The 17,357-nt window shown below is 41.6% G+C and overlaps 2 protein-coding genes across 16 annotated transcripts in view, besides 3 other annotated features; both read left to right on the top strand.

The window, feature by feature from the left end:
* TMEM245 (transmembrane protein 245) overlaps positions 1 to 9,935 on the top strand; it is a 104,813-nt gene extending 94,878 nt beyond the window's left edge. For all 11 annotated transcript variants that reach the window (NM_001438169.1, NM_001438166.1, NM_001438172.1 and 8 more), the window contains one exon: positions 4,565 to 9,935. In NM_001438169.1, coding sequence (NP_001425098.1) covers positions 4,565 to 4,610 — 46 coding nt within the window. In that variant the 3' untranslated portion in view covers positions 4,611 to 9,935. The remainder of the gene's footprint in view (positions 1 to 4,564) is intronic.
* Positions 11,329 to 12,218: a silencer, noted in NCBI's record as "silent region_20161". NCBI's record gives its function as "represses an Ori minimal core promoter by ATAC-STARR-seq in GM12878 lymphoblastoid cells {active_cell/tissue: GM12878}" and the evidence as "EXISTENCE:reporter gene assay evidence [ECO:0000049][PMID:35858748]".
* Positions 11,329 to 12,383: a biological region, named in NCBI's record as "H3K27ac hESC enhancer GRCh37_chr9:111774967-111775470".
* The window catches only part of CTNNAL1 (catenin alpha like 1), a 70,923-nt gene continuing 65,136 nt past the window's right edge, over positions 11,571 to 17,357 (top strand). For all 5 annotated transcript variants that reach the window (XR_007061368.1, XM_017015250.3, XM_005252291.5 and 2 more), the window contains exon 1: positions 11,571 to 11,768. Coding sequence is in view for 3 of the 5 variants with exons in the window: in XM_005252291.5 (XP_005252348.1) it covers positions 11,628 to 11,768 (141 nt within the window). In the remaining 2 variants the exon portion in view is untranslated. The remainder of the gene's footprint in view (positions 11,769 to 17,357) is intronic.
* Positions 11,880 to 12,383: an enhancer, noted in NCBI's record as "H3K27ac hESC enhancer chr9:111774967-111775470 (GRCh37/hg19 assembly coordinates)". NCBI's record gives its function as "activates a minimal SCP1, AML or CMV promoter by ChIP-STARR-seq in naive H9 embryonic stem cells {active_cell/tissue: H9 hESC(naive)}" and the evidence as "EXISTENCE:reporter gene assay evidence [ECO:0000049][PMID:30033119]".

The raw sequence follows: 17,357 nt of genomic DNA, 5'->3' as shown, positions 1-17,357 counted from the left end.
AAATTTCCTGAATCTGCTCATCCTCTTTACTCCCAGTGGTGTGACCCACTGCCAGGATTTCTTCAGCAGCCTCTTTACTGGTTCCTGCCTCCAGTCTGGCCTCCCTCTAGTCTGTTCTTCATAGTATAGCTTCTCTGATTTTTCTGAAACATAAATATTCTATTCTGCTGCTGCTTAAAATTCCCACAGTGGCTTCCCATGGCCTTCAAGATAAAGCTAACACATTAATTTGCCCTGTCAGACTTCTCATGCCTTTCTTCTCTCTACTTCTCCAGATTCATCTCTGTGCTGTGTGCCTTGCATTTTATTTTTCAGCTGTATTGAACTTGTTTTAGTTACCAGAAGGCAGTGTCATCTTTGCAGTGTTGTCCCCTCTGTAAAGAACACCACTTCCCTCCTAGCCAAGTCCAGTATCATGGTGTATACTCAAAGTACCCTTTTTGTGAGAAACATTACTGAAACTCTGAACTAGGTAAGAAGTCCTTGCTGTGTCCCTGTGGTATCTTACACTTCTGTTGGAACTTAATACGCGTTTTATAGATGTGTGTTTAATTCATTGTTTTTTCCCATTAGTTGGTAAGCTTTTTGAAGGTGGGAGCTATATCTAACTTTACCACTGTTTTACCACTCCTAACATGGTGCTTGGCGCATAGTAAGTGCTAGGTGAAGATTTGGTGAATTTGTGGATTAGTGAAACCAAAAGCAGAATACAACCTTGAGGCTGATAAAAGACGATGGGACATAGTAAATCCTAGCCTTAGAACTTTATTCCAAATTTGTTGGAAGGGAGGGGGTATGTATAATAGTGGTTGCATGTGCTCTGTCACAGGATTGTATGCTGGTGCCGGTGTAGGAAATACACACTCAGTGCTGGGGAGCCAGCTAAGTAAGTTAAATTAGTTAGTTACAACTTTCAGGCATCCATAACTTAACTCTGCCTGTCTAGGAGGCTGGAAGTCAACAAGTCTTGAGTTGTTAAATCATAAATGATTTACATATTTACATGGAGGGAAGAGGGTAGGGGGTGAAATGAATTTGTAAAGATCTCATTGAAAGTTTGGGGCAAGCAGATCCCAAAATATTTTCAAAGAGCAAGGAACAGTGAGAGACTACACTGCACAATCCCTGTTGCTCTGAAAGGAGGTGTAAAATGTTAACAGTCCTCTAGTCCCATGTGACCACAGTCACATGTGGTCCCATTCTGCATTGCTTATTCTTTTTTTTTTTTTTTTTGGAAACAGAGTCTCACTCTGTCGCCTAGGCTGGAGTGCAGTGGCGCGATCTGGGCTCACTGCAAGCTCCACCTCCCAGGTTCACGCCATTCTCCTGCCTCAGCCTCCCGAGTAGCTGGGACTACAGGCGCCCGCGACCACGCCCGGCTAATTTTCTTTGTATTTTTAGTGGGGACGGGGTTTCACCATGTTAGCCAGGATGGTCTCGATCTCCTGACCTCGTGATCCACCTGCCTCGGCCTCCCAAAGTGCTGGGATTACAGGCATGAGCCACCGCGCCTGGCCACATTGCTTATTCTTAGACGAGAAATTCTATACTGTGATTCCTTGCAGCATAATAATCCTTATAATTTGAGAAAGAATACTGTATTTAGATGGTTTAAGTAGGATGTTAAACATTTTCAGAAAATAGTGTCAATACAGTATTTGTTTCTAACGTAGAGAGTTATAGTTTTATGAGCTTTACTTATTAGTTAGAGCTATGCCTCTGGAATAAGCCAAAAACCAAATAATTTCTGCATCTCTAGACTATAGATATTGTTTTCCTGGAGATAATTAGAGGTTTGTTCAAGATCAGTGTTACTTCAGTAGAGTTCTGTAGATACACACACCTCCCCCTCCATCAATCACCCTAACACCCTACATACCTAGAGAGAACATTGAGATGAAAGACTCTTAGTAACTGATCTCTAAGCTTGCTTCAGGTTGTTGGTTTTCTTTGTTTTGTTTGTTTGTTTTCCTGAGTCCTTTTGGAGACTTTCTTGGCCTGGAGACAAAATTGAATAGTAGTTAGGAATTTCAAGGTTACAGCTAAGCTCACTTGTCAACAGAGAGCAGTGACTAGGCTAACCATAGCCTTAATCTTATTTAATGTGTCTTTGCCCTGAGGCTGAAATCTTCATTCATAATTTAGAGGAAATGAATAGTTAATAGATATAAAATTACAGGTATCTGAGAAATTTGAAAAGATGTCAGGGAACCCCGTTGGGTATTAGAAAATGCTTTGTAGTATTAGCCAGTTTTTGACTATTGCTTGCAAAGATTTTCCAGGGCTTTTCAGAATTAAGTGCTACCTGAAATTCATATTGTCTGAGACAGCAGCCAGCTTGGCCTGTAGACAAATGTAAAAACACAAACTTGGGTGAGACTGTGAAAAATAGCTATCTAGAGCTTTAGTTCTGACAGGAGTGTGGGGGTGATTTTTTTCTCCCCAGACAATTTCTCATGTCTGGAGTCATTTTGATTGGCATTCTAGTTGAATAGAGGCCGGGGATGCTGCAAAACATCTTATAATGCAGAAAAATTTCAAGATTGAGAAACACTGATTTGAGATAGATAGATAGATAGATAGATAGATAGATAGATAGATAATGCATATAAACATACATGTGCGTATACAAATCTTCACCTTTGGACTTGTTTTCAGAACATAAAAGTCTTTAAGGAAAGAAAATTCATTTCAATTATTAGATCAGCCAGCATCTTTAAAAATGGTTGGTGTATTCATGTCACACATAAACCCTCTCAAAGCCTCAGGAGCCATAGCCAGGAGACTAACAGTTTTTCAAAGTAGAGCTGTGCTAGTAGAGGCGTGCTTCAGAGATCCAGAGGCTTAGGGCACCATCCTTGAAAGAGCCTTGAGATAACTGAACATCCTTAAAGGTAATTTCTTTTCTGTGACATTTTACCTGTTCCCCTCTTGACACTGAAGTACTTTCCTCATTGAGTGCTGCAAGGTTAGTCTTTAATTGATCTCTGCCTTGCCTATGGGCCTCCTAAATATTTATATGAATTGAGAGGAGAGAAAAGGAGTAAGGGAGGGGGCATGATTGTGGAATTACATTTGAAGTTCAGATTGTTTATTTTATGAGTTTTTAGGTGATTGTACCTAATAAAAGCTTTTTGTTATCTTTAGTTTCTACTACTGTGAGCTGTTCCTTAGGTTTTGGAACACTTACTTTATATTGTACTTCAATTTATTCCTCCTTCCCTTCCTCCCTCCCTTCCTTGCTTTTTTTGGGGGGGTGGTGGTGGTGGTGCAGGGTCTCATTTTGTTGCCCAGGCTGGCCTGGAGTGGCATGACCTAGGCTCACTGCAGCCTCAACCTCTTGGGCTCAGGTGATCCTCCCACCTTAGCCTCCCAAAAGTATAAAAATTAGCCGGATGTGGTGTCATGTTCCCTGTAGTCCCAGCTACTCAGGAGGCTGAGGTGGGAGGATGGCTTGAGCCTGGGAGGCAGAGGTTGCAGTGAGCTGAGATAGCACCAGTATACTCCAGCCTGGGCAACAGAGTGAGACCTTGTCTCAAAAAACAAAACAAAACAAAACAAACAAACAAACAAAAAACCAACTGTAAAGTCAAATATTTTTCTGTATTTCTAATATGTGGACTTATTGTAAAGGAGCAATATAACTTCTATCTAAAAGAATGGTAATAGACTGTGCTTTATATCTGTATCACTGTTGCATAAACATCTGGTCCCAGCCTCTCTCCATCCTGATGTACTGCCAGCCTTGGTGTGAGGCATTTTTGTCTAATATGGGTGCTTGAGCTCATGTTCATTGATAAATTCTGACCTGGCCATTTGGCTGCCAGCACAGATGTAAATTTAGCCAGGTGATTTATCTCAGCTCAGACATGTAAATTATGTAGCAAAAGCAAGCTAGCTACTACAGTACTGAGATAGACACTTCATGTATGCAGCAGTCAGGCACGGTGCTCAGCCACCTTCATCCAGCCCAGATATTACCCGCCAATAACATTGTTCGCTTAGCTTGTTTAATGTGGGTCAGAAACAGTTCAAGTACAAGGTCACTTGATGAAAAGACCTAACCCATTTTTCCTGCACTGAACCACATCCCTTAGAGCTTGGACTCTCTGTTGGATTACGATTTCTATTTTGTAATAAAATGTATCCACTTAGCATTTAATCTTTGGTCTCTTAGTGGTTTTTCCTCTTTAACATCAATCATCATATCCACTTCCAGCCAGTAACAAGGTGGAAGAGCTGAAGAAGATTGCTCTTCTCTTTTAAGGAACTGCCCAGAAGTTGCACAACACTTCTACTTAAATCTCATTAACCAAAGCGTAGTCACGTGGTCATGTGTAGTTTCAGGGGAGTCTGGGGAAACAGTCCTTTGGATAGATCCAGCAAAAAGATGGAGTTCTTGTTAATGAGAATGAGCAACAACTAGCAGACTTTGAAACAATACTCAATGAAAATCTTAAGAAAAAATAGTGACTATATAATCTCATTAGGGCTCCAAAAGATTGTAAAAATAGGATACTGTTTTATGGTAATCAACTAATCATTCCGTCTTTTTTTCTTTTAGGACTTTCCGTGACATTTCTGAAGATCTGAAATCTTCAGTAGGTTGATGTGGTTTCCTCTGCAGTGATTTTTCTAGGAAGTTCAAATTTGACAGCGAGTTCAGCTCAGCTGTGGCCCTCTGCCCTTCCAGCTGTGCCTAGCAAGCAAAACCCAGGAAAGAAGCAGAAGCCTCCTGGCCTTACATACAGAATGCCTGGACAAGAGAGAACTTGCTGCGGGCTGCTTTGTATTTTAAAACACAGCTTGAGAGTTCAGAGTTGGTGGTTTGCTCACTTAACTGTTGTTAAGATGGCTTGAAAAGTTTCATTTTATACACTGGTACCCTGGCTTGAAATTTTTCCACTTTGGTTATCTATGTTACTATATTATATATTTATAAAGTTATTTTAAGAACTCTAAACTACCTGCTGTTAAAAGAATAGATGGTGTAATTTTTTCCTGGTTTAAGAAATGTATTGTTAAACTTTTCTAAGACAGTCACTTTTCAAGGAAGAGGGCTTTCACTTTTGAGTGTGTAGTTGAGTGAGCAGGAAAAATGAATCTTCTACCCTTCTCCCACAATGTATTATACGCTCTTTAAGAAATAATAAATCATAAGTATAAGGGTGGGGTGGCTTATTTGATGTTCAGTTTTATATTATAACCCTGGGAGATACAAAGACTGAAGCTCTTCCTCCTCTTCCTTTTCTCTTCACGCTTCTTTACACTATTGCCAAATTATAAAACTTGGCTGACCACGTTGAAGTGAAATACTTATTAAGCTGCTATGAATGGTAACAGTATGATAAAATTCATGCTGTTATTAGGTTTTCTCCTTCCAGGTGGTTGAAGTGAAAAATCTCAGGTGTAGCAATACTCTGATTTGTTAAATGTATCCGTTTCATTATTTGGAACTCTGCCAATAAGTTAGTTTTCAGCAGAATTTTGTATTTATGTAGTATTTTCCCATCTCTTAGCACAGTGCCTTGCACATGACTCTAAATGAATGCTTGTTGAATTGAATTGCAACTTTAAAAATATCTCAGATATCACAATAACCAGCATAGTGCTTTACATTTTACAAAGTCCTTTTGCACATACTATTTCACAAGTACATCACATCAGCTTTCATATAGCTTTATATTATTTTACATCAGTTTTACACTGATGGAGAAGCTAAGGTTCAGAAAAGTGACCAACTCAAAGTCGTAAAGTGTAGTAGGATTTGGCCTCAGATCTTTGACTCCGTTGTGTGCAGATTCTGCTGTATTAGTGTTCCTTCTAAATATTGTATGCAGTTTTCCCAGTGTTACGAGATTGGTGTTGCTATCCATTTGTTGTGAATGAAGACTTGTCCTATAGTACATGACAGGGCTGAGAGTGGACTGTAGTTCTTAGCTGAACCCTTTCTACTGTTTAAAACAATCATCAGGCCTATCCTCTGCTCCCAGGGGAATGTGGGAGAGAAAAGGGTTCTTGGCCAGGCTGTAGGTGGTGGCTCACATCTGTAATCCCAGCACTTTGGAAGGCTGAGGTGGGTGGATTGCTTGAGCCCAGGGATTTGAGATCAGCCTAGGCAACATGGCAAAACCCCATCTCTACAAAAAAAAAAAAAAAAAAAAAAAAATTAGCTGGGCACGGTGGTGTGGCTATAGTCTGAGCTACTCAGGAGGCTGATGTATGAGGATCACCTGAGTCCAGGAGGTCGAGGCTGCAGTGAGCCAAGATGGCGCCACTGCACTCCAGCCTGGGTGAGAGAGTGAGACACTGTCCCAAGGAAAAAAAAAAGTGTTGGGGGGTAGTTCTTAAGCGTTGAAGATTTCCTTTTTGGAAAGTATTTAAAGGTAGAAATATTAATAATTTTTCCTAAAACATCTCCCTAAGAAGTCACTGATAATTATAATTAGTTTAAATTTATTCTTACACTACTTAAGAAAAATTTCATTTAGAAAAGGCTACCATGAGATCTTTTGACTATATGGAGTAGACTGCATACAGATCTCTTTATTTCTATTATGAATATTTTAGCGATTATAATCAGCTATTCCACTGAGTATTAGATTTGGTCACTAAGTAACTCATGTTTTTCTTTAGTCAATCATTCATTCATTCACTAAAACATTTGTTGAGAGTTGGCTAAACTCTAGATTCTGTGCCAGGCACTGTACAGGGTGATGGAGATCACTCATAAGAAGGCCTCTTGCTCTTAGCCAGATCATATGTAATACTAAATTTAAATTTTTTGCATTAAAAGGCTAAAAAATCATTTGTTTTTGTTAATTATATACTGGTTGATTTATAGATGTAATTAGCACATATTCATAAGAGACAAATATATACAATGAGTTACTATACATATACAAAGTGATTTTAGCTGTATAAAGTGATATTGCAAAAAACTACAGCTAATGTTTCTTGCTGGGTAATTATTAGCATAAATATCAGGTTCTTAGAGGTCTTTAAGAGAATACTTTAGAGCTACCAAAATTAGCAGCAGTGATGTAATATCACCCTGAAATACCAGGAGCAGAGGTGCCCCAGAGTGCTTCACAGCTATGATCAGGAAACTTGACCTGCCCCATTGCTACAGCAACGGCATAAGGACTAGGAAGGTCCACTAGCTGGGGAGGTCTTGGAACCCTCCGAGCCAGAAAGAAGCATTCCAGCATGATTCCTCAGATGCAATGAGGAAGGTTTACAGAATTTTCACAGGGCAACAGAGATCAAGTGGTATGAAAAGGTAGGAGTTTTAAGCTCAAGTCTCAAAGATAACCTACCTTTACATTCTCAGTCAGAATTTGACCCAGAAAGAGGAAGTTTCTTCAGGAACAGACCGTACGTTGATGAAGTAGAAGTCATTTCAGTAAAAACGGAGTACAGAACTTGGTCATAATATCTTGCATTTTATAGATTTATTAAAGATTAGTTTCAAGTTCACATTCGCTATTCAGTTGTAAACCGAATGGATGGGAGGGGAGAAAATACAAGCTCTCCACACAGGTATGCTCCTCTCTTTTCTGAGAGAGAAGGCATGGGATTTTCAGCATAAATTCCATGTTATGTGAGTGCTGTTTGAGTTCTGAAGTTCCTATCAATATCTGTTCCTGCAAGTGATCTCTGTAAGACCACCTTACATGCTGGTCTTAGTTATTGTTAAAATTGCAAGGTTTCTTCACACCCTCTTTGATAAGAAGTGTTTAGCTGGCAGAGCTTTCCCTTGACTTCTGAGTCTAGTGTGGGTTGGCCCATGACAGTGGGAAGAAATCCAACATGTTACATGGAGACCTTGTATGTAAACAAACTCTGTAGCCTTTGAAAGTGGAACTGCTTTTTACAGTTAAAGGGCTGCTAAATGGCTTGCAGATGAGATCTTCTGGCTCACCTTGATCTTCACATGAACCCATTGTGACCTATCTGGATTTCCTAGGACCTGTAGTTTCCATTTGGGTTATATTAGTGCCTCAGGAATGTGTCACTACTGGTCAAGCAATACTCAGAAATTCAGGCTGTGAGGGGTTAGATTAGAGGAAAGTAATTTAGGTGAGCTATCCAGAGCTTTCAACCTCAGGGTTTATAGGAAAAAAAAACAAAATACAAAAACCCTTAGGACTTCTCATACTCTAGCCCTGACCTTGCAGTCTCCTCTGAGGGGCCTCCTAAGACCCTTAAAATAATATTACAATAGGACTTTGAGTGTGCATTTCACAGTGGAAATAGCCTCTGGCTAGCATTACTTCCAAATGCTAGTTCCAGCTAAAAACAAGTACTTTTTATTAGTTTCTTGTCTTTCAACATTCTGCCATCAAAATATATTCATTTTATTAACTTACCGATTATTGGGAACCTGCAAAAAAAAAAAAAAAAAAAAACACACATGCTGTCTGCAGCCACTGTTTGGTTATTTTTGATAGTTTAAGAGAATTATAAATCAAGTTGTTCTGTCTACTAGAGTCAGAAATTCTGTGCTAGAATGGGACTTCTAAAATTAGGTGGTCCTGTCACTTTCTAGAGAAAGACCCAAATTCATAGGTTTAAGTGGCTTGTCTGACATACACATACAGCCAGTTAGTAACAGAATTCAGAATAGAATAGAGTTCTTTTTTTTCTGTCAGTCCGTTGTTCTACTTCTCTTTCCTTTTCTTCATGGTTGAGCAGCTTTTGGCAAAATGTGTTCCATATAGCAGTAGTTCCAAGAGATGTTAATAGATGTAAGAAAAAAAGTGTGTGTGTGTTGGGGGTGGGGGATTGCATGGTCAATTAAAATGAAGGAATGCTGAGTTTGTTTCCTTACTGTAGGACTTCTAAGAGTTTTGAACATGCTATTACACATTGTGAATTTATAAAAGGGGACAAACACTGTTTGACCTTAGACTGCACTCCCCTTCTTTATTCCTCAGAGCATCTCAAAGGACTACAGGGTCCTTTGAGAAACATGGCCCTTGATCAAGTTTACAACTCTTTGAGAAGACATCCCTAATGGAAATACTGAATGGCAGATCTATTACTGTGGTACCATGTAGTGTGTAATAAATCTTGAAGTCCAGAAAGCAAGTATATTTGCTGTTTAGAGCTATACTTAAGGTATAGAGATTCTTTTCCACCTGTGGTGTGTAAAATCAGTATTGTGTTTAATTTTGCAGGTTTTTCAAGGATCAACTAATGTGCAAATACAGTGGTGATATATTGATATTACATTTTAATAATGCTTTTGTATGGCACTTTATAGTTTTCAGACACCTTTTGTAACAGCCCTGTGAGACAGACAATATTATCCTTATTGTACAGATGGGGGGGCTCTGGAGGCTCTGAAAAGTTTTTGGTGATATTCCCCTAAGTTTATACCACAAAATGATGGAGCCAGAATTTAGTTGCAGAACTTCTGACTCCAAGTCCAGAGTTCTTTACTAGACATCTGGTTTCTTACTAGCTTTTTGCTAGCTTTTTATTTTACAGTGAAAAGTATGGAAGCAAATCCTGATAATTTTGGCTTATTATCAAATATCATTTATTTTTTATTGCAGAGACCCAGCAGATGTAACTCTCATTGTAGCCATCCCAAAGAAAACCCTTCTTTGCCCTTTGCAGTGCCACTTATTTAGGTAACTGAAGTGTATTTCCAGTACAATTTGATTTTGAACTAAGATTTGATATAGAGTTGTAATTGCTTACATAACTCTTTGAAAATGTATCATCCCTGGGTTCTCAGGTGAAGGAGGCAATTCAAAAGTAAAAAAGAATATTCGAATACAATAAATACCCTCTGTTCTCACACAAATGCTGTTTCTTAGCTAACTTGCTTTGACAACCTACTGATGTAACTTCTTTATTAATGTGAAATATTTATATTTTGAAATAAAATTACTAGTGTTGAATGAATCATGTGGTAAACTTAATCTCCTGTGTGTTGAAAAACTTGATCTTTTGTGAAGCCAAAGTTTCATGAATCCATCCGTCTCTTAGGCCTTCTGTTATGCCATTTCCTCCGGCACCATTGTGTACACTGAATTCTTAGGAGATACTGTCAACTTCGTAAGGGAAGGTGTGTCCAGGAAGTGGACACTGGGCGCCTTAAAGAGGTCAAGGGCCCTCAGTGCACAGGGGAAGGTGGCCTTGTGATAGGTAAGGAAGTGGTGAGATGGTTGGCTGAGAAGAATTGGAAGAAAAAGTTGGATTGAGGACCTGTCCTTTTTGAATGAAGAAAAAGAAGCTGAAGCTTGGCTATCTTCAATACCAAAGACAGCTGTGCAGCACTGGTAGATTGATGAAGCTGAAGCTACAGGTTGAAGCACTGTGAAGCGCCTTTCAACGGTGCTTGGGAAAGAGCTTTCTTATGCCTCAGGTTGATGTACCCAGCTCATCAATCTGGTGTTATGGAAGAAGAAATGATCCAGGCCAAGGTGTCCGGGTGGACTGGCCAGCCTCAGATTCTTTTTTACTCTGACAGGTTCTCACTGGCAGATATGGTAGTTGACAAAACATTTTTTCATGCTTCTCAGTCTGTTGCTTAAGTCTGGAATTCCTTCACGGCGTGCATACTGCTGACAACCTCCTTTTGGCCTTGCTCCTGGAGACCTTAGAATAGGAGTCTTCAGCTCCCCGCCCCCATCGTGGGGCTCTGTGCGAGCTCAGAGTTGTGCTTACAGAACTGATTCTTACCCTTCCCCTCAAGTGAGTTGTCAGAAATACACACTTGGTGTTTTCATGCAATGAACAGTTATGAAGAAACTGCTCTGTGCCTGGCACTAGGAAAAAACTTCGAAAAATAGTTTTAAGAAGTAGTGTTGAACAGTAGATGAGGCTTTTTCATGTTTCTTTTAAATTTCTTTTGAATAAGTCTAAACAGTAGTGTGAAAGATATACTGACTTCCTGCCGAATACCCAGATACTCCATTAATGATTGCATTATCAAATGTTTCCCCTTCAATCCAGCTCAAAGTGTTTGTGAGAAATACATGGTGAAAGAATGAGCAGGGTGGAGTGGAAATTGGACCTTCCGGAGAAGCCCCAGGAAGACATTACCACTGGAATTCCCGTCCCAGGGGAAAGGCCCCTCCCAACAGACTTGATTCTGGTTTTGGTCTACCAGTTTCAACCCCAGCACAGCTTCCAGAAGTCTTTGCGGGAATTCAGAGCTGATTTAGGACGAGTCACCTATCGAGAGGACGGGAAGCTTTGCTGGGGACGCTTGTCTGTCCAAGTAAGAGGAGGCCATGTGGCTGTGTGACAGATGTGTTTTGTTTCTCCTCGCCACCCTGGCGAGAAGGTGCCTGGAACCCATGGAAGGGGTCTGAGAAGAGATAAGGGCGGGGCCATGTGGGGGCGGGACCCGGCTTAGGGGGTGGGGTTGCAGGGAGCCCACACCAGGCTGGACTGCGCGGGCGGGGCAGAGGCCGGGGGTGGGCGGGGACATACGGTGACGGGCGTCGGGGACGCAGGGTTGGCGGCGGAGCCCTGGGGGGGCGGGCCCCTGGGGGCGGGGTCTCGGTTGGCGCGAGTGTCCTGTCGCCGCCGCCTCGGGCGGGTGGGCTGACTGGCGGCAGGCTCGCCGCGGCGCGGAGTCCCGGCTGCGGGATAGACCGAGGGCCATGGCCGCCTCTCCCGGACCCGCCGGCGTTGGCGGCGCCGGAGCAGTCTACGGCTCCGGCTCTTCGGGCTTCGCCCTCGACTCGGGACTGGAGATCAAAACTCGCTCGGTGGAGCAGACGCTACTCCCGCTGGTTTCTCAGGTAAAGTGGCGCCTGGCGCGGCCCCTCTTCTCCTTCCCGCCGCGGCCCGCGATGGCGGCCGCCGCTCGCACGACCGGACGGGAGGCAGCCGCTGCCCCACTTTCCGCGCCGGCACTGCGGCGTTCTTGTCGGACCGCCTGTGTGGGGCTCCGGGACGGGCCTCGGCCCGGGCGGCGAGAGACTGGATAATCCAAACTCCGGCGGCAGGGTTGAGTGGACTCGGCAGCAGGGGAGGCTGCGGGGCGGGGGTGCCGGCCTGGGCCTTTGCCCCCAGTACCTGCCTCGGGTCTGCGGCTCCCGGGTGCCCCCGGCCGGGCGATGCCCCCTCCGCGGGGCGAGTGGTTGAGCCCAGCTCCCGAGGCAGAGAGGACCCCCGCGGGGCCCCTCGCTGGTACTTAGGGCCCTCCACGATAACCGACTTTGTCACCAGTTCGCAGCCTGGTCCCGAGCCCGGCTCCTCCGCCTGGGGTATTCCTCCCGGCCTCCCCGCCCAGCGTGCGCTCCCTGATCCTTTGTCCCTCCCCGCCGTAGGTCAGTTCGCTGGCCTCCCATTCATCCCGGCCACCCTACCCCTTCCCCTGAACCTGCTGCTGCTCACTTCTGCCCGCTTCTGTCCGGCCTCGTGGAAGAGTGACGTGGAGACTGTATGACAGTTAATCCAGATGCACACCGTTTTGCCAAGTCCCGTTTGGGATGTGTGCGTTACTGTATTTGCCAATCAGCTAACCGACGCCCTGAGTTTTAGGAAAGTTTTTGTTTCTCTGAGCTGGGTTATATGCAGCTTCAGGGCTAGAATTCCTCACTTAGGTCTGTGGTAAGATGCCAAGCACTGTGGGGAGTGAATTCTGTGCCTTCGGGAGCGCGTTGGCGATGTGTGACTCACATCTAGGTTGTAACCACTTCGTGACTCATACTAGGATTACCAAGATTTTAGAGGTAGAAGAAATCTTAAAGATTATCTGACTAAAAATTCTTTCTTTAGCATCCTTGACACCTGGCCACCAGTACCCTGCTTAAACATGTTCAGTGAAGGGGAGCCTGTAGCTGTTGCATAGAATTCTAAATGCTATTATCTCTTCTCCTGCCCAGCCCTGCGCATATTTGAAAACAGCAGTTACACATGTCCCTGGATTCCTGTTATGCTGGTTAAATAAACATCCCTATTTTCTTCACCTTCGCATGGCTAACGGAGCAGTGATGAATATATCTGACACTCTCCTTCCCTTTTCCTGTGTCTCATTGAGGCTCTGACCAGTGGGAAGGGGCACTGGGATCCCTCAGTAATGTCAGACCCTCCGCTCCTCGCCTATCTCCACTAGCACAACACAACCAAAACGAGAAACACTGGAGCAGTTTTAAGAGGCAGAGAGATAAGAGAGTGATGGAGTTCAAGTTGATAGTATTTTATCCATTTTTTAAATAACACCTATGTAATGCTTACTATGTGGTAGGCCAGGTTCTAAGCACTTTGTAAATATTAACTCATTAATTCTCATAACAATCATGTGAAGTTGGTATATATTCTCGTGGTATGGGAGAGGAAACTGAGGAATACTGAGGTTAAATAATTTGTTGTTAGGGCTTTCAATAAGTGCCAAACTGGGATTTGAATCCAGGTACCCTGGCTCCAGAAGGTTCTCTTTGCTACACTATGCTGTGTCCTCTCTAGAGATTAGAAGCAGTAATGAGATCTAGAGAAAAAGATGGTACATAGTGGAAAAACAAGCTAGAAAGTCATAATCTGGAGAAATGGCAACTTTTCACAGTATCCACTGCTAAAAATGTATCAGTCTTACAGCTCTGCATTGTGTAACTCTGGGGTAAAAGAAGCCAGAGAAGGGTAGGAGAGCAGAGGAAGAAAAGTATAAATCACTGCTGAGAGTTAGAGGTCAATGCCAAAGGGGAAGAATGCCTGCCTTTTTTTTTTTTTCTTTTTCCAGTTAAAGCCTTGTTCAGGGTCACAGCTGAGGTTTTGCATCCCACACATTGTGTATCTACAGCTACATCTCTACCACAACACCATAACTGATATTCCTCATAATTGACTGTCCTTAACAAGAAAAAGTTAAAATCAAGAAGTGTATTAAGCATGGCCAGAATACTCGGTTAACAAAGCAGGGAAGTACAATTTAGAATGATTTTAAAGTTTCAGTGTTAGGAGATTAAAACAGCAGTTCTCCAGAAAACTCATATGTCCACAAGTCTCATTTTCTGAGAATGCTGTATTATTACCCAACTCATGTTTCACCATCTCATCCACAAGGATATTTTAAGCATTTTAAGCAAGGATTTATTGTGTGCTTATTTGTTGCTGTTTTTTGAGGGGCTTATATTCTAGTTGGTAGATAGGTCATGTATAGAACAGCACATGCAAAGTGTCAAATGAACATCATCAATGGTACATACTCTAAAAGCTCAGAGAAGGCATGGATGAGTCAGCAGTGATGTCATGGAGGAGGCAGGGTTTTGAGGTAAACAAGTAGGACTGGCACTATACGGTTTAAAGTAGACAGTTTCTATTCTGGTATCATCTAGCTTCTTCTGACTCTCCAAGTGAAAAGTCCTGGGTTACTGGCCTTATTCTAAGAATGCAAGATTTTATCAATATTAGAAAAATGTGTATAGTTTTTTTTGCATTCACAGATTATAAAAGATGTATTTTCCTAACAATGATGCAGAAAAAGCATTCAACTAAATTCAGCTTCTAATAATGATAAGAAGCACTTAGGGAACTAGTGTTAGGAAAAAGTGTCCTTAACCTGATAGAGTATCTACAGAAAACTTTTACTTAACATCATAGCAACAGTCAAATTTAAAATAAACATTTCCTTTAAAGCCAGAAACCAGAGTGGGGTGCCTGCTATGCTTCTACTCAGCACTGCACTGGAAATTCTAGCCAGTGTAATATGACAAGGAGAAGAAATAAAAGGAATAAATATAGGAAAGGAAAAACCAAAAGTCTCAGTGTGATATAATAACCTATGCAGAAAACTCAAAACAGTCTACAAGTAAATTATAAAAATTAGGAGTGTTGGCAAGTTCACTGAGTGTAGGATACTAAAATCAATTGCATTTTTCTACATTGATAACAAACAAGGCACAGGCGCACTGGCTGGTGCCTGTAATCCCAGCTACTCTAGTCTCAGCTATTCAGGAGGCTAAAAAATGGGAGGATGGCTTGAGCCCAGCAGCTGAGGGCTGCAGTTAGCTGTGATCACGCCACTGTGCTCCAGCCTGGCCAACAAGGACCCTGTCTTTAAAAAATAATAAAAAAAAATAGAAAAAGTAATTATTAAAAAAATCCAGTTATATTAACAGTAACAGCAAAATATGAGCTTCCTAAGAATATGTTGCTTTTGCTATGTATATAAAGAGAAAGAGCTCTATCTCTATGTATACACAGCAAAAGTGGTCAAACTTCATGGAGAAAATTTAAAAATTTTATCAAAAGCCAACATGGATCTAAATAAATGGGAGAAAAGTACTGTGTTCAAGCCTAGGTTGACATATTATAGACATATCAGTTATCCCTATTGGTCAATTTAATGCAATTTCCATGAAAATTTCAGCAAGATTTTTCAGTAGAACTTGATAAAAGTAATTCTGAAGTTTATATGAAAGCACAAAGGGCCAAGATTAGGCAGAAGAGAAACAAGGTGGATGGACTTGCTCTGCCAGATTTCAAGACTCATTATAAAACTATAGTAATTAAGACAATGTGGGTATCAGAACAGGGTTGAAAAACATAGACCTGTGATACAGAATAGAAAACCCTAGAACAGATCCACACATATATGGAAACTCGGTAAATGACAATTGGCATTGCTGGTCAGTGGGGAAAGGAAGAACTTAAAAAAAATTAAGCTGGGACAATTGGATATCTAAATAGAAATTATGAAATTGGATCTCTGTCTCATACCAGTAAAAAGTCAACTTCAGATGGATTAAAGACAATATGAAAGTAAAAGCTCACAACACTTTTAGAAAAAAAAAAATAGGGCAGTATCTTCATTACCTTATGCTGGGAAAGGATTTGTTAGTATACCACAAGTATAAACCTTAAGAAAAAAATGGATAAATTCGACTTCTTTAAAATGAAGAACCTAGGCCAGGCGCAGTGGCTCACACCTGTAGTCCCAGCTCTTTGGGAGGCTGAGGTAGGTAGATCATTTGAGTCCAGGATTTTGAGACCAGCCTGGGCAACATGGTGAAACCCCGTCTCTACAAAAAATACAAAAAATTAGTCGGGTGTGATGGCATGCACCTGTGGTCCCAGGTACTCTAGAGGCTGAGGTGGGAGGATTGCTTGAGCTGGGGAGGTTAAGCCTGCTGTGAGCTGTGATCACAACACTTCACTCAGCCTGGGTGACAGAGTGACAGAATGAGACCCTGTCTCAAAAAAAAAAAAAAAAAAAAAAAAAAAAAGAACCTCTGTTCATCAAAAGGAAAACGTAAGTCATTAAGTGGGAGAATATGATTCCAACACAAATAACCAACAAATGATTTGTAGTACCTAGAATAAATAAAATACTCCAATGAATAAAAAATAAAAAGATTAGCCATTAAAAATTGGTCAAAAAATAATTTCACAGAAGAGGAAACAGCTAAAAGATATAGGAAAAGATATTCAACTTCATTAGAACTCAATGAACTACAAGCTAAAAAATCCACAGTGAGAATAAGTGTTGGTGAGGAACGTGGAGATGGTAGCAATATCCGTGTTACAACCATTTTGAAAATGGTTTGTTGTAATCTATTATAATTGAAGGTGGGCATTACCTGTGGCCCAGCAATTCCACTCCTAAGTCAGTACCCCTAGAGAAACTCCTACACACCTATTAGAAAAGTGGATTGGGGCTGGGCGTGGTGGCTCACGCCTGTAATCCCAGCACTTTGGGAGGCTGAGGTGGGTGGATCACCTGAGGTCGGGAGTTTGAGACCTGCCTGACCAACCCCGTCTCTACTAAAAATACAAAAGTTAGCTGGCGTGGTGGTGCATGCCTGTAATTCCAGCTACTTGGGAGGCTGGGGCAGAAGAATTGCTTGAACCTGGGAGTCAGAGGTTGCAGTGAGCCGAGATTGTGCCACTGCACTCCAGCCTGGTAACAGAGTGAGACTCTGTCTCAAAAAAAAAAAAAAAAAAAAAAAAGAAAGATGGATTGGAATGTGGATAGCATTTTTACTTCTGATGGCCCAAAACTGGAAACTTCCCAAATGTCTTTTAACAGTAGTATGTTTACATAAATTGTGCTATGTTCATATAATGATATACTCTGTCACTGAAATGAATAAACCACAGCTATAATTATCAATGGGGATGAATCTCAAAAACATAATGTTGAGTGAAAAAAAATAAAGGTTCAATACCAGATAAAACTAAACCAGATATCATTTAGGGTATACTGTATGTACAATAGTTATAATAAAGGAGTGGTGAACACAAAATTGGGACAATGGTTTCTTTTGGGACAAGAGAGTGATATGGACAAGGAGTAGCCAGATAGTACATGGGCTGTCAGAGATACTGACATTGTTCTCTTAAGCTTGGTGGTGGCTGCACAGGTCTTTCTTTCATTTCTTTAAACTCCA

Source organism: Homo sapiens, chromosome 9 (genome assembly GCF_000001405.40).
Source record: "Homo sapiens chromosome 9, GRCh38.p14 Primary Assembly".
NCBI classification, from domain to species: Eukaryota; Metazoa; Chordata; class Mammalia; order Primates; family Hominidae; genus Homo; species Homo sapiens.
The sequence above is the reverse complement of the archived record's forward strand: the minus strand, read 5'-3'. Positions and strand labels throughout refer to the sequence as shown.